Source organism: Homo sapiens, chromosome 10 (assembly GCF_000001405.40).
Source record: "Homo sapiens chromosome 10, GRCh38.p14 Primary Assembly".
NCBI lineage: Eukaryota > Metazoa > Chordata > Mammalia > Primates > Hominidae > Homo > Homo sapiens.
Genome location: NC_000010.11, coordinates 99,656,880 through 99,671,755, shown reverse-complemented (window position 1 = coordinate 99,671,755; position 14,876 = coordinate 99,656,880). Strand labels below are relative to the sequence as shown.

The 14,876-nt window shown below is 41.3% G+C and overlaps 2 protein-coding genes across 6 annotated transcripts in view, besides 2 other annotated features; one reads left to right on the top strand and one right to left on the bottom strand.

Moving 5' to 3' along the window:
- Positions 1–12,247, bottom strand: part of ENTPD7 (ectonucleoside triphosphate diphosphohydrolase 7) — a 51,733-nt gene extending 39,486 nt beyond the window's left edge. Inside the window, exons 1-4 of one of the 3 annotated variants that reach the window (NM_001349962.2) lie at positions 12,168–12,247; positions 11,792–11,894; positions 11,274–11,456; positions 10,128–10,310 (exon numbers count right to left, since the gene is read on the bottom strand). In NM_001349962.2, the coding sequence (NP_001336891.1) occupies positions 10,128–10,310; positions 11,274–11,287 (197 nt within the window). In that variant the 5' untranslated portion in view covers positions 11,288–11,456; positions 11,792–11,894; positions 12,168–12,247. Of the gene's footprint in view, positions 1–10,127; positions 10,311–11,273; positions 11,457–11,791; positions 11,895–12,028; positions 12,128–12,167 lie in introns of those variants that run through there. The other 2 variants (NM_020354.5, NM_001349963.2) reach the window with 2 other exon arrangements.
- Positions 12,019–12,238: a silencer, noted in NCBI's record as "silent region_2697". NCBI's record gives its function as "represses an Ori minimal core promoter by ATAC-STARR-seq in GM12878 lymphoblastoid cells {active_cell/tissue: GM12878}" and the evidence as "EXISTENCE:reporter gene assay evidence [ECO:0000049][PMID:35858748]".
- Positions 12,359–12,568: a silencer, noted in NCBI's record as "silent region_2696". NCBI's record gives its function as "represses an Ori minimal core promoter by ATAC-STARR-seq in GM12878 lymphoblastoid cells {active_cell/tissue: GM12878}" and the evidence as "EXISTENCE:reporter gene assay evidence [ECO:0000049][PMID:35858748]".
- SLC25A28 (solute carrier family 25 member 28) overlaps positions 12,470–14,876 on the top strand; it is a 48,765-nt gene continuing 46,358 nt past the window's right edge. For 2 of the 3 annotated variants that reach the window (XM_006718005.5, XM_024448223.2), the window contains exon 1: positions 12,470–12,510. The gene's annotated coding sequence lies outside the window, so the exon portion shown is untranslated. Of the gene's footprint in view, positions 12,612–14,876 lie in introns of all 3 variants that reach the window. The other variant, XM_024448222.2, reaches the window with a different exon arrangement.

Here is a 14,876-nt window from a genome sequence, read left to right as displayed (position 1 = left end):
CCCACTAATGAAGATAACAGTGAGGCTACCAAAAAGTGAACAATATTAAACATGAATGTGAAAAAGGAAAGGTATTAAACAGAACATTTAAGAACAGTTTACCACAGTGTCTTGTACACTATGTATACATGCTAGAAGTTCCTCTTACACAGTCACGCACTGCATAATGACGTTTCAGTCAACAGCAAACCACATGTACAACAGTGGTCCCATAAGATTATAATGGAACTGAAAAAATTCCTATTACTTAATGATGTCTTGATGATCCTGATCCTGTGCAGGCTTAGGCTAATGTGTGTGTTTCTGTTTTCATTTCTAACAAATAAGTTTTAAAAGGAAAAAAAACTTTAAGTTTTTAAAAATAGAAGAAAACTTATAGAATAAGAATACTATAAGGAAAATATTTCCCTATAGCTTTACAATATGTTTGTGTTTTAAGTTGTGTTAGTCCAAAACAGTCAAAAAGTTTTTAAAAATTTCAAAGCTTAGAAAGTGGAAAAGTTACAGTAAGTTAAGGTTAATTTATTATTGAAGAAAGAAAAAAATTTTTAAATAATTTTTAAATAAATTTAGTGTAGCCTAAATGTACAGTGTTTATAAATTCTACAGTAATGTCCGAGGCCTTCACACTCACCACTCACTCACTCTGAGAAACTTCCAGTTCTGTGAGCTCCATTGATGGTAAGTGCCCTATACAGGTGTACAATTTATTTTATTATTATTATTATTATTATTTTTGAGACAGGGTCTTGCTCTGTTGCCCAGGATGGAGTGCAGCGGAGCAATTACGACTCACTGAAGCCTTGGCCTCCTGGGCTCAAGTGATCCTCCCGCCTCCGCCACCCAAGTAGCTGGGGCTACAGGCATGGACCACCACACCCAGCTAATTTCTAAATTTTCTGTAGAGATGAGGTTTCACCATGTTATTACCTAGGCTGGTCTGGAACTCCTGGGCTCAAGAGATCTGCCCACTTCAGCCTCCCAAAGTACTGGGACTGCAGGCATGAGCCACCATACCAGACCCAATTTATCTTTGATACCATATTTTCACTGGACCTTTTCTATTTTTATATATGTTTAGATACACAAATACTTACCATTGTGTTGCAGTTGCCTATAGTATTCAGTGCAGCAACATGTGTACAGGCTTGTAGGCTAGGAGCGTATACACCACACAGCCTCAGTGTGTAGTAGGCTGTACCATCTAGGTTTGTGTAAGTATTCTATGATGTTTACACAATGATGAAATCACTTAATGATGCATTTATTAGAACATATCCCAATCATTATATAACACACGACTGTATGAAAAATTAATAAATTTTAACAATTACCCAGCATCCACAGCAGAAATTAAAACATGGTACACTTAGCACTGTCAACAGAACTCTGTGAAATGATGAAAATGTTCTCTATCTGCACTGTCCCATATATCCACATGTGGCCACTGAGCATTTGAAATGTGCCCAGTCCAAGTGAGGAACTGAATTTTGTTTCATTTAATCTTAATTAATTTAAATTTAATTAGCCACTTGTGGGTAGTGACTACCCTATTTGATACCACAGTGTAGACACTCGATAATTGTTGAATAAGTAAACAGATAAATGAATAAATGGATATAAGATATGTATTGAGTCTGAAGAAAATATTGGAGCATGTCTTATGTGGCACATGCCAGAAAAATAGTTGATTAAAACACACATCTCGGCCGGGCGCAGTGACTCACGCCTGTAATCCCAGCACTTTGGGAGGCCGAGGCGGGTGGATCATGAGGTCAGGAGATCAAGACCATCCTGGCTAACACGGTGAAACCCCGTCTCTACTAAAAATACAAAAAATTAGCTGGGCCTGGTGGCGGGTGCCTGTAGTCCCAGCTACTTGGGAGGCTGAGGCAGGAGAATGGCGTGAACCCGGGAGGCGGAGCTTGCAGTGAGCCGAGATCGCACCACTGCACTCCAGCCTGGACGACAGAGCAAGACTCTGTCTCAAAAAAAAAAAAAAAAAAAAAAAAAAACCACACATCTAACACAAGTATTATTCTCAAAAACAGCTCTGCTGTGCATGTGTAGGGTCAGGGGATATGTGGTAAATCTCTGCACCTTCAGCTCAAATGAGCTGTAAAACTAAAATGGCTCTAAAAAAAGTGTATTAAAAAAAACACAGTTTTGGATTCTATCCTTACTGACACCCCATCTCTCTAAATTTACTTTTTTTGTATCAAATAAATTCTAGTTTTGATGCAAACTTCCTACTCTCTCTTTCCAGAAGCAATATGGATACATGTTCACAATAAAGAAAAAAAATGTAAGTCTTTAGTTCTGGAACTACTGAGAGAAAACCCCCTGACAGGCTTCTAAAGTCCTGGTTAATATCCCCTGAAAAGTGATATGTTAAATTCCACCAATGCCTATAAAAAGTTCACATTGAAATATCTGTTTTCAATGCAAAAGTAATTAAAATATTTTAAACATTAACTGCTTTCATATATATTAAAATACAAAGATGCAATGTGCAAGAGAGACTATCATTTCTAATTAAAGCAATGCCTTATTTGTCAAGACCATAAAACAATGAATGGGCCTAGGACAGTGGCTCACATCTGTAATCCCAGCACTTTGCGAGGCCAAGGCAGGTGGATTGCTTGAGCCTAGGAGTTCATGACTACGCTTGGCAACATAGGGAGACACTGTCTCTACAAAAAAAAAAAAAAAAGATATATAAAATAAAATAAAGAATGCATGTAGTGTTCCTCTAGGCACATTTTCCTGATCAAAGGTTTGCAAACTTGCTCCCATGAAGACACGTGTAAGTGGGTTCCTGGAAGACAGCACACTTTCTGAGGGACACCACAAAGTACGGATATAATTTCACTGTGTGAATTAGGAACAATTTAAGTAGAAAAAATATGTCTATATATGAATATAATATAAAAAAATCACAACTACAGGCGCTTGTGTTAAAACTTTTTTAAGCTGTTAAATTAAGGTAGCAAGTGTTTCTACCAATTCCTAGTTACTTGCTTAATCATTTCATCAAAATTTTAAATAGAGATTATAACGCCCATTATCTTCAGTGTATATTTTCAGGCAGAGAAGAGAATTGGAAAACAGAAAAATCAAGATTATTTCAAATAATAGATTGACATTTGATTAGTCAATCAATGCACCTGACATTCCTAGATGCTCTACTCTTCTTATGCAAATGACAAGACTAAAAGACAGCTATTTTTATTCTCACTTTATATATAAAGAATATGAAATTCCAGGATATTAAGAAACCTGCCCAAGATTACCCAACTAGCAAATGATGGGCTGATTAACTCTAATATTAACATTCTTTCCCTTACCTCACAATACCTCCTTAAGTAAATGTAACCAAATCTTAAAGCAGTTTTTCTCAACCCAGGTGGTATATTAGATTCACCTTGAGAAGAGTCCCAATTATTTGCATTTTTCTAAAGGTCCCCAAGTGATTTAGATACACAAAGGTTGAAAACCTCTGATTTAAAATTATCATTAATGGCCAGGCATGGTGGCTCACGCCTGTAATCCCAGCACTTTGAGAGGCTGAGGTGGGTGGATCACATGAGGCCAGGAGTTTGAGACCAGCTTGGCAAACATGGTGAAACCCTGTCTCTACTAAAAATACAAAAATTAGCCGGGCATGGTGGTGCGCACCTGTAATCCCAGCTACTCGGGAGGCTAAGGCATGAGAATCGCTTGAACCTGGGAGGTGGAGGTTGAAGTGAGCTGAGATCATGCCACTGCACTCCAGCCTGGGCAACAGAGTGAGACTCTGTCTCAAAAAAAAAAAAAAAAAAAAAAAGATTATCATTTCATTAACATAAATTTTTAGACTATGTAATAAAACAGTTTTAACAACATATGTAGAACTGTTTACCACTATAGAAACTGTCTGTAGAAATTTTGAGTTATTGAGTCTATCTTTATTAAATTTCCTCTCTCCTGCTTCACTGTCAAGATGCCAGATATAACTGATTATTGTCATAATGTGCCCACATCTAACAACACACCCCACCCACCATTCCAATTTGCTGTTATCTACTGTGTTCTGAGACAAGTGAGAACCATGCAAATGAGAACAGTGTGTAAAATAAAAGCTAACAGGCTTTATGTGAGAGCCTATCTTATCAGTAAAGTACAGGTGCTTTTAGCACATGAACTTAGTGATATCAAATTTGGTTGCTCAAGAACTTCTTCTGTTTAATTTCTGATTCTTAGCTTTGTTCCTAATTCTTAACCTTGTACATAGTTCCTGATTCTTCACTCCTGATTCTATACAACCGTACCTAAACTATTATCTCACTGGGAAATAATTTTTCCTTTATGCCTGCCTCTCTAACTAGATTACGAACTCCTTGAGTTCAGGGGCTATGTTTAGTCATCTTTGTACTCCAGTGCTATCATAGAGTCATCGACACAGCAAACCCTCAATAAATGTTTGCCTCTTAAATGACTCATGGAGGCTGCCCTGAGTGAAGTTTAATGATAAATGGTCATTTGTGGCAATATATACAGAACCTTTCATTAAGTAACAATGAGCTCTGAGCCACAGCATTCCAGGGTGTTAGGACTTTGGTGAGGTCGCCACAGTGGCACAGTCTATGTGTTCCTCAGCTCTATTGCTAACTTGTTTCAATTAATTCAACCTACCAAGTATTTATTGGCTCTGACCACTTGGGATACAGTGATAGACAAGAATTATCAGATCACTCTGCCACCCACATACATTTAAATGCTTTTACCTCTCTCCATCCTCTTGCAACCACAACCATCTCTCTATTGAGGTACAGTCATTGACTTACAATGGTACAACTTATGATTTTTCAGCTTTATGATGGTGCAAAAGTGATGCACATTCAGTAGAAAGTATACCGTGAGTATCCACACAACCATTCTGTTTTTCACTTTCAGTACAGTATTCAATAAATTACATGAGATATTCAATACTTTATTATAAAATATGCCTTCTGTTAGGTGGTTTTGCACAACAGTAGGCTAATGTAAATGTTCTGAGCACCTTTAAAGTAGGCTAGGCTAAGCTATGACATTTGTTAGGTTAGGTGTATTAAATGCATTTTCAACTTATGATATTTCAATTTACATAACCCATCATAAGTCAAGGAGCATCTCTAGTTCAATTACTCTTCCTGCTTTCTTTTTCATTCCTCTCCAATTCTTTTTCCACAATCCCACCAAAGTGAGCTTTCTTTAAGAAGCAGTTCTGGCTGGGCACGATGGCTCATGCCTGTAACCCCAGCACTTTGAGAGGCCGAGGCAGGTGGACTACTTGAGGCCAGGGATTCGAGACCAGCCTGGCCAACATGGTGAAACCCCGTCTCTACTAAAAAATACAAAAACTAGCTGGGCATGGTGCCACATGCCTGTAATCCCAGCTACTTGGGAGGCTGAGGCAGGAGAATTGCTTGAACCTGGGAGGCGGAGGTTGTAGTGAGCCGAGATAGCGCCACTGCACTCCGGCCTGGGTGACAGAGTGAGACTCTGTTTCAAAAAAAAAAAAAATTAAAAAGCAGTTCCAACCTTTTCACTCTTCAAAACCTTTCAAAGCCTTCCTTCTGCCCTGAGGGTAATGCCTAAACCCTCTAAAATAGCTTAACAGACTCAGCTTGATCTAGCTCTCCAGCCATACAGCTCACCATTCACTCCCTAATTGTCTTTAGCCATATTAACTAACCTACATGGAAGTCCATAATTAGACCATGTCGTCTTCAAGTGAGAAACTATGCGCAGGTCTGTCAAGAAAATTCCATAAGCATTAAACAAACTCAAATTATGGATTTAGGTCTCCAAATTTAGTACATTTCTTAAGGGCAGTTGTTGATTACTATAATCATCCAAACAGTGTTTCCTCTTCTGGAAAGGAAAAGAAAGTCGAGGCTGGCATGGTACTCATGCCTGCAATCCCAACACTCTGGGAGGCCAAAGCAGGAGGATCGCTTGAGCCCAGGTGTTCAAGACCAGCCTGGGCAACATAGTGAGACCTCCATCTCTATTTCAGTAACGTTTAAAAAGAAAAAAAAAAAAGAAAAGCAAGCCAAAAATACAAATGAATTGGGCTGCTAGAAGAAGGCAAGGCTGAAAACATAAGCTTCTTGAGAAAATGTACCAAAGTCTCTGTATCTGGTGTCTGATGCCTATTATCGTCTGCACATAGTGGCTGCTCAAATTTTTGTTGAATGAATGAATGAATGATGAATGAATGAATGAATGACCAAAGTGAATGGGAAATGAGAAAATCTGGGGACAGAATCCAGAAATAAAAAGGAGGGTAGGCATGTGTCCCAATTCTGACCAAAAAAGATTCCAGGAAATGGTTGTTAGAGGTTTCTGGCAAGGCTCTTCTCCATTCTTAGAAGAGAGTCATGGAAAGCCTTTCTGTCTCCTACGGGACATAAGTGAATATATATGCTGCCCTGGTTGCTACTGTCTGCTGTTTTTCTTCTCTTTTTTTTTTTTTCTTTGAGACAGGGTCTCACTCTGTCCCCCAGGCTGGAGTACAATGGCGTGATCCCAGCTCACTGCATTCTCTACCTCCCCAGGCTCCAGTGATCCTCCCACTTCAGCCTCCTGGGAAGCAAGGACTACAGGTGCATGCTACCATGCCTGGCTAATTTTTATATTTTTTTGTAGAGACAGAGTTTCACCATGTTGCACAGGTTGGTCTCGAACTCTTGAGCTCGTGCAATCCACCTGCCTCCGCCTCCCAAAGTGCTGAGATTACAGGCGTGAGCCACCATGCCCGGCAGTCTGCTGTTTTTCAACCATTAAGTAAACTGACACTGTGGACAACAGACAGGAGAGACAGAGCCTCTCATCCTGTCAGCCAGTGTTGAACTTGTAGTCCTTCTACCCCTGGACTTCCAGGTATGTGAGCATTCTTATTGTTTAAGTCAATGTGGGCTGTTATTTGCAGCCCAAAGCCTCTTAACTAATACATATCTGAGAAGCAATAAAAAGAAAATTTAGGCCAGGCATGGTGGCTCACGCCTGTAATTCCAGCACTTTGGGAGGCCAACGTGGGTAGACCACAAGGTCAGGAGATCGAGACCATCCTGGCTAACACAGTGAAACCCCATCTCTATTAAAAATACAAAAAATTAGCCAGGCATGGTGGCATGTGCCTGCAGTCCCAGCTACTCAGGAGGCTGAGGCAGGAGAATCACTTGAACCCGGGAGGCAGAGGATGCAGTGAGCTGAGACAGCGCCACTGCACTCCAGCCTGGGCAACAGAGCAAGACTCTGTCTCAAAAAAAAAAAAAAAAAGAAAATGTAAATATTTTAAAAATGAGGCCAGGCACAGTGGCTCACATCTGTAATCCCAGCATTTTGAGATGCCAAGGCAGGAGGATTGCTTGAACCCAGGAATTGAAGGTTATAGTGAGCTATGATCGCACCACTGTACTCCAGCCTGGGTGACAGAGTGAGACTCTGTCTCTAAAGAAAAAAATTTTTTAATAAGAAAATCATGTTGAAGATAATGAACATAACATGCCATTATTTAATTTTGTAGCTTCATCAAAAACTAATCTCAAAAAAATAGCAAAATGAATCACTGCTATAAAGAAATATAGACCTTCTGTGCAACTGGTATAGCTAAAAGTATATAAAATAATTCAGATGTACTATCTGTGAAAAAAGATGTCAAACTTTCACTGGATAGAACAGTAGATTAAACACTACAGAAAAAAATACTAACAAATTTGAAAGCAGCAAAAAAATATACGAATGAAACACAGAGAGAAAAAAGACTGGAAAAAAAATGAACATCAGTGAGCTGTGGGAAAACATCACATAGTTCAATATACATGTTACTGGAGTCCCCAGAGGAAAAGCAGGGGAGAACAACAACAACAAAAATCTGAAGAAGTAATGGACAAAATGTTTCCAAATTTGATTAAAACTACAAATCCATAGATCCAAGAATCAACAAATCACAAGCACAAGAATCAGGTAAGCAGGGCACGGTGACCCATGCCAGTAATCCCAGCACTTTGGGAGGCCGAGGCAGGAGGATAGGTTGAGCTCAGCAGTTTGAGACCAGCTTGAGCAACACTGCGAGACCTCACTTCTACTAAAAATCAAAAAAATTAGCCAGGTATGATGGCATATGCCTGTAGTCCCAGTTACTCGGGAGGCTGAGGCAGGAAGATAGCTTGAGCCCAGGAGATTGAGGCTGCAGCGGGCTATGATTGCACCATTGCACTCCAACCTGGGAGATGCGCGAGATAGTCTCAAAAAAAAAAAAAAACAAATAAAATCATGTAGAAAACAACATCAAAGCACATCACAATCAAATTGCTTAAAACCAGTGATAAACAGAAAATTCTAAAAGTATTCAGAGGAAAAAGATACATTCTATACAGAGAGAACAAAGATTAAAAGGACAGCAGACATCTCAGAAAGAATGCAAGCCAAAAGACAGTGAAGCATCATCTTTAAAGTAATGAAAGGAAAAAAAATGATCAACCTAGAGTTCTATACCCAATGAACATTTCTTTCAAAAGGAAAGCAAAATAGGGACTTTTTCAGTCATATAAAAGTTGAAAGAATTTATCACCGCATACTTGCTCTACTAGAAATGCTAGAGAATGTTCTTGAGGTAAAAGCAAATATGGAAATATGGATCCAGATGGAAATATGGATCTACACAAAGGAATGAAGCAGACCAGAAATGGTAAATATAGACAAAAGTGACTCCATCTTGGATGTTAATCTGCCACATTGACTTCTGACTAGCCTCAGTCCCGTAAATGCCTCTTGATTCCTGCTTTATTTACTACTGTAAGAACATGTCAACCTTGGTGTTGGCACACAAATGACAGGATATGGCACATGCAGCATTCTTACCTGTTCTGGAGGGCTGTCTTTAATTGTCTTGCACAGGGTGCATATACCATCTCCCTGTACTATATAAGCCCTGGGTCTGGGGAGTAACAGTATGGAGATCTATCTGTCTTGCAGCTACCCAGGGCCACGCTTCTGTCTGCAAATTCCCTCAATAAATCAATGAATACCAACGAACAATTTGCCTGCCTCCTCCTTTGGTTTCTCCGTCCCTTCAGCATTCAAGGGTCACTTTGCTTATATGACCCTTTCAGGCAACAATATGGTTAAATACATAAGCCTTTTTTTCTTATATTGAAAATCTCTTCAAAAGACAATTGACTAACACAAAAATAATAACAATATATTGTGGAGCTTATAACATGTAGAAATAAAATACATGACAGTAGCAGAAAGACCAAGGGGAAGGGAGGAATGAAAGTATACTGTTGTTAGGTTCTTGTTCTAGATGTGAAGAGGAGTAATATTACTTGAAGGAAGATTGTGATAATTAAAGATGACACTATAAACTTTAAAGTAACCACTAAAAAAAGAAGAAGTTATATCTAATAAGCCAACATGAGAGATAAAATGGAAACATAAAAACTGTGCTCAACTGAAAAGAAGAGGGAAAAAGAGGAAAAAGAACAAGAACAAATGTGACAAATGAAAAACACATAGCAAGATTAAAACTAAACATACTAAATAATCAGATTAAATATAAATGGCCCGAACACCCCAATTAACTGCAGAGATAGTCAGATTGGATAAAAAAACAAGACCCAACCAAACACTGACTACAAGAAGCCCACTTATATAAAGACACCAATAGGCTAAAACTAAAACTATAGAAGAAATATCTGTCATGCTAATGTTAATCAAAAGAAAGTTGGAGTAGCTATATTAATACCAGACTAGTAGATTTCAGAGCAAAGTATATAATCAAGGATAAAGAAAATCATTTAATAATGATAAAGGGGTCCATTCATAAAGGTATAATACAGTCCTAAACATTTATACACACAATAAGTTTCAGCCCACCAAAACAAGAAAACACAAAGATGCCTTTCATGCAGTATCAGTATTCCTGTACCAAACTGCATATTGCCAAAATAGGGCTTAAAATCTTCTTTATGTAATAAATGGCATGCAATTTTACTAATAAAAGTACAGTATCACCCAAAAGGGTCAAAGTCAGTAGTGTGTTAAACAGCTTATGAAAATATTTATGACTTGAGTGCCAAAATCTAAAGCTGACTCACCTTTCGTATTGCCTATCTCGTGGTAATGAAGCACTCCAATGTCGAAAGTCTATGATTAACATAAGTAAAAGGAGACAGGATATGAAGAAGAGTCCCAGGAATGCCACCCGCTGACGGAGAAATGGACTCACTGTGGGCACAGTGAAGTACCAGGAGGCTGGGCAGAGGTAGGAAAAACTGATCCTGAAATTAGACAAACATTAGTAAGTCTGAAACATTTCTACAACTGAGTGCTTAAATATCGTTTTAAAATTGGATAAAACCCTCCTAATAAAGGCAAAAATCCATGCCAACAGAAGTCTAAATGTTCTTGTCATCTCTAATTTTAGAAGAAGCTCATGGTGCTTCTACTATATATATCAGAAAAGCCTTATCTGCCCTTTTTCCAAACTGCACTTTGAGTGCAATTCAAAGACTTAATCTCATGTTAGTGAAAAGATCACCAGTCTCCCTGGGCAACCTCATAACATTGGAGAATCAGAGCAACTACAGTATTCCCAACCAAGAATTCTGTCAAGAAACAGGATGGTCAGAAAATTTATTTAACTGATTTTAAAAATGTTTTACCAGATTATACAAGCACATAGTAAAAGACAAATCAGTTTAAAAGGATATATTGTATAGTGAAAAGTGATTCTTGCCCTGACCCCACAATCTCTCAGAGGCAAACATTACTACCCAGTTGCTGTGTAATTTTTTTTTTTTTTGAGATGGAGTCTTGCTCTGTTGCCCAGGCTGGAGTGTAGTAGCGCAATCTCAGCTCACTGCAACCTCCACCTCCTGGGTTCAAGCGATTCTTCTCCCTCAGCCTCCCCAGTAGCTGGGATTACAGGTGACTGCCACCACACCCGGCTAATTTTCGTATTTTTAGTAGAGACCGGGTTTCTACTTGGCCAGGCTGGTCCTGAACTCCTGACCTCAGGTGATCTGCCTGCCTTGGCCTCCCAAAGTGCTGGGATTACAGGCGTGAGCTACTGCACCTGGCCGTTGCTGTGTATCTTTCCAGGGATATTCTACGGATACACAAGCATAAATATACACCAATATATTTACAGTAATATATCTCTGTGTGTGTGTGTGTGTGTGTGTGTGTGTGTGTGTGCGTATCCATTCCCTCGGTTTTACACAAATGGTAGTCCACCATACCTGCTGTTCTGCATCTTTCCCCCACTTTATTTTATAACTTTCCCTTATTGGTGCATGTAGATCCACATTAATATTTTTTAAAAGCTTCAGGTTATTATAATGTATGGATAAGTGTATTCATCTGTGAAGTTCACTTTGTATATTGATTCAAAAGGACCTCGGTCTGTCTGCTTTTAAAGTTCACTGCAAACAAAAAACAAAAAAACTTCTTTGTTTAACCTCCTCAAGTGGCACCTAGCCTTGCTCAGATGCGAATCTGAATCAATGTTACAACCTTGCACTTTACAGAGCTGAGCAAGCCGACTCACTCTACCACTCCTGGTCTATGGGCTAGAAACTATTATTTATCAGCCCTCGAAATAATACAACTTTGATCGTCTCTGCATCCAACTAACCAGAATACAAAGTCCAAGTGCAGCTCCAGGGCAAACCTCACTTGGGACAGCCTCCCAGGGCCCCCCAACCTGCCTGCCATCCTCTGCCGTGCTCCCAGCCGGAGGGAAAGTGTGCAGCCTTACCTAGCCATGGGTTCCCTTCGGTGGTCTCAACGCCTGTCACCTTCTTTTTCTTTTGCCCTGAGAAGGTGGCCTCCTTGTCCCAGGCATCTCCTACGTCTGCAGCCTAGAAAGATTTGATTTCAGGCTTCTGTCCGACTGAGCCCACGAGACAAACCTGCACGGGAATTCCACGGCTCCCACCTCCTCCCCAGGCTCCCGCTCCGTCTGCTCTGGTTCCTCAGGCCCAGGGGACCCTACCCGGGCATCCTGGGAGCGGGGCGTTCTCGTGGGCCAGCTCTGTCCTCTAGGAACCGGTCGTCCCCAGGTGGCGGGGTGTGGGTCCCGCTTCCTCTCCCCGTCCCTCCGGGTCCCACAGCCCTCTCGCGCCCACACTCACGGGATCAAGCGGCCCGCCGGTTCCTTCGGCACCTCTCGGTTCAGTCCCGAGCTGCTCCCCGCGGCCCCTTGCCCAGCCGGAAGGAGGGCCCGGCCGGCGGCGGCGCCACGTCCCCAAGGAAACCGCAGGGAGCCAATGACTGACAGAAGACTCACGGAGGGGCCGGCTCTCCACGAGCCGAACCGGGGGCGAACCAGCTCGGTCAGCAGCACGTCCGTCCGCCAGGGTGGCCAATCCCCTAGAGCGCTCGGCCTCTGATGCCCGCCCCGGGACTTTGAGCCGCGCCCAATCGGAAAGGCGTCGTACCGAGGCTCCGCCTGCAGGGCCCGCGGAGAGCTCACAGGTGAGTGGCGCTGGGCGGCCCTGTGCCCGCTTCCCTCCCTGGGGCGCGAACTCTCGGCTGGTTGCTTTCTCCACGGCCGCTCCTGGGACAGAGTAGCTCCGGTAGGTGGGTTCAGGGTGTTCGCGACCGAAGCGCATCCCTTGCCCATAACCTATTGTTGGTTTTGTGCCCACTGACCCTCCCTACCAGAATGGCAGTTCTCTCACCTTAAACCTTCCCTATCACCTCCCAAACTGATGCCCCGACCTCACTGTCTTGCCCCGTGAGAAAACAGAAATCGAAGACAATGACGTTTACACCAAAGTGCTTATGTCCATTCATTCATTCATTGAATGTCTGCTTATGCCAGTCATCATGAATTTCTGTGTCGCCGCCCTCCTTGACCTTACAGTAACACAAAGGAAACGACGCGCGCGCGTGGGTGTGTGTGTGTTTCTTTCTTGCTTACACCAGCCGTTATCTCATTTCCAGGAGGACGGCATAAAGTCCAAGCTCTTTCCAACGTGGCACATCCATTGCGCCCCACGATCCGCCCTACCGCCGTCCTCTGCCGCTACTTGCCTTCCTTACCACGCTCCAGCAACGCGTCCTGTTTTGCTCATTCTGCCCCTCCACCTGCCTTGAATAACCGTCCCAGCCTCTTAGCCAAATCACCTCCTACTCATCCCTTACCACCCATCTTAAGGGTCGCCTTCCCCTAAAAGCCCTACTTGACCTACTACACCTTTTTTATACATGCCTATTGTTTCACTTAGCACGTTGAATTACTATTATACGTATATGTCTGTCTGTCTGTCCCACTAGACAGAATATCCTTGAAGGCAGGGACTATTTGCTTCCACATATTCCCAATACTGGCCACTGCCTGGCAGATAAAACACAACTAATGTATAATTAATAAGCAAATGAATGAATGGGGGGGATCGGGGAGGAAGACCACCCAAATGCTTTATTTATTCAAAGCTTACTATGACAAGGGAGTCAGTCACCATCACTTGCATTTGGCCGACTCAAAGCCTGTCAGGACATTAGGAAAACTACTTACTTACTTAATTACCTACAGGGTCTCACTCTGTTGTCATCCAGGCTGGAGTGCAGTGGTGCGATCGTGGTTCACTGCAGCCTCGACCTCCTGAGCAAGCGATCCTCCCACCTCAACCTCCTGAGTAGCTGGCTCTACAGGCACGTGCCACCATGCCCAGCTTATTTTTTTTTAATTCTTTGTAGAGATGGAGTCTCACTATGTTGTCCAGGCTGGTCTTGAACTCCTGGGCTCAAGCAGTCTTCCTGTCTCAGCCTCCCAAAGTGCTGGGATTACAGGGATGAGCAGCTGCACCTGGCCAGGAAAGCTTAGTAGTGAACAAAAAGGGAAGGTTTCATGTATACTCTGACTTGAGGGTATTAGCATGGGAAAGCTGGAGGTGGGCTAACAAAAGTAGTGTCTCTTAGGTGATTGGTTTGGGGTAGGTAGCATATTTGGCTGTCTTTAGTGGGTTCTGAGTTGAAGAAAGGAGGCGGCAAAAAACAGGGAAACTGAGTCATTGACCAAGTCCTGATTATTCTCGGCTGGTTGCTGTAGAGGTTGTGGGTCAGAGTTCTAATTGTCATATAAGATCTAGCCATTGTCCAGTTTCTATATTCAGTTCTCATGACTATTGTTTTTTTGGCTCCACTACTCTCCTAACCTTGTTGAACTTCCTAATTTGCCTTTCTTCTTCAATTCTCAGTTCTCAGTTTTTTTTTCTCTGTCCCTCAATCCCCACTCTGCTTCAAGTGTTATATTTTATCTGGACCCCCAGAAACCACATTGAATAGAATAGTTGCATAAAGTTGGGATTAACCACAACATTATACAGATACCAGTTATTTTTATTATTTCAGAACCCAGTTCAGTTCCTAGAACAAAATAGATATGGAAAGAACTAAAATAATGTTTTGGAGTAATTTTTAAAAATTTCTTGAATTTACCTTCTGTGAGTTCTAAGTCTAATCTCTATACATATATATTTCAAACTTTAGTGTTCCACAAAATAGGTGTTTTTGAGTGGAAGTATAATTCCTATTTTTAAAATAGTACTTAATTCCTATGGTTTATGAACTATATTAACTTATAATTCAAAAGTTCATTGAAACATCCTCTAATTTACATTTCATAACTACATCATAAAACAGAAAAGACCTACATTTTAATCCCAACATTTTTTCATTATATTTTCTTTGTAAAACTTTCTTTGTCAGTCTGGTTTGGACAATACTTCCTTCAATAAATCCATATGCCCTCAAGCATTTGTCAAGCATAATTCTTTACAAAAACCAGCAATGCTTATCTGGTTAACAGCTCATAGGGCTGAGTTCCGAGGTTTCCA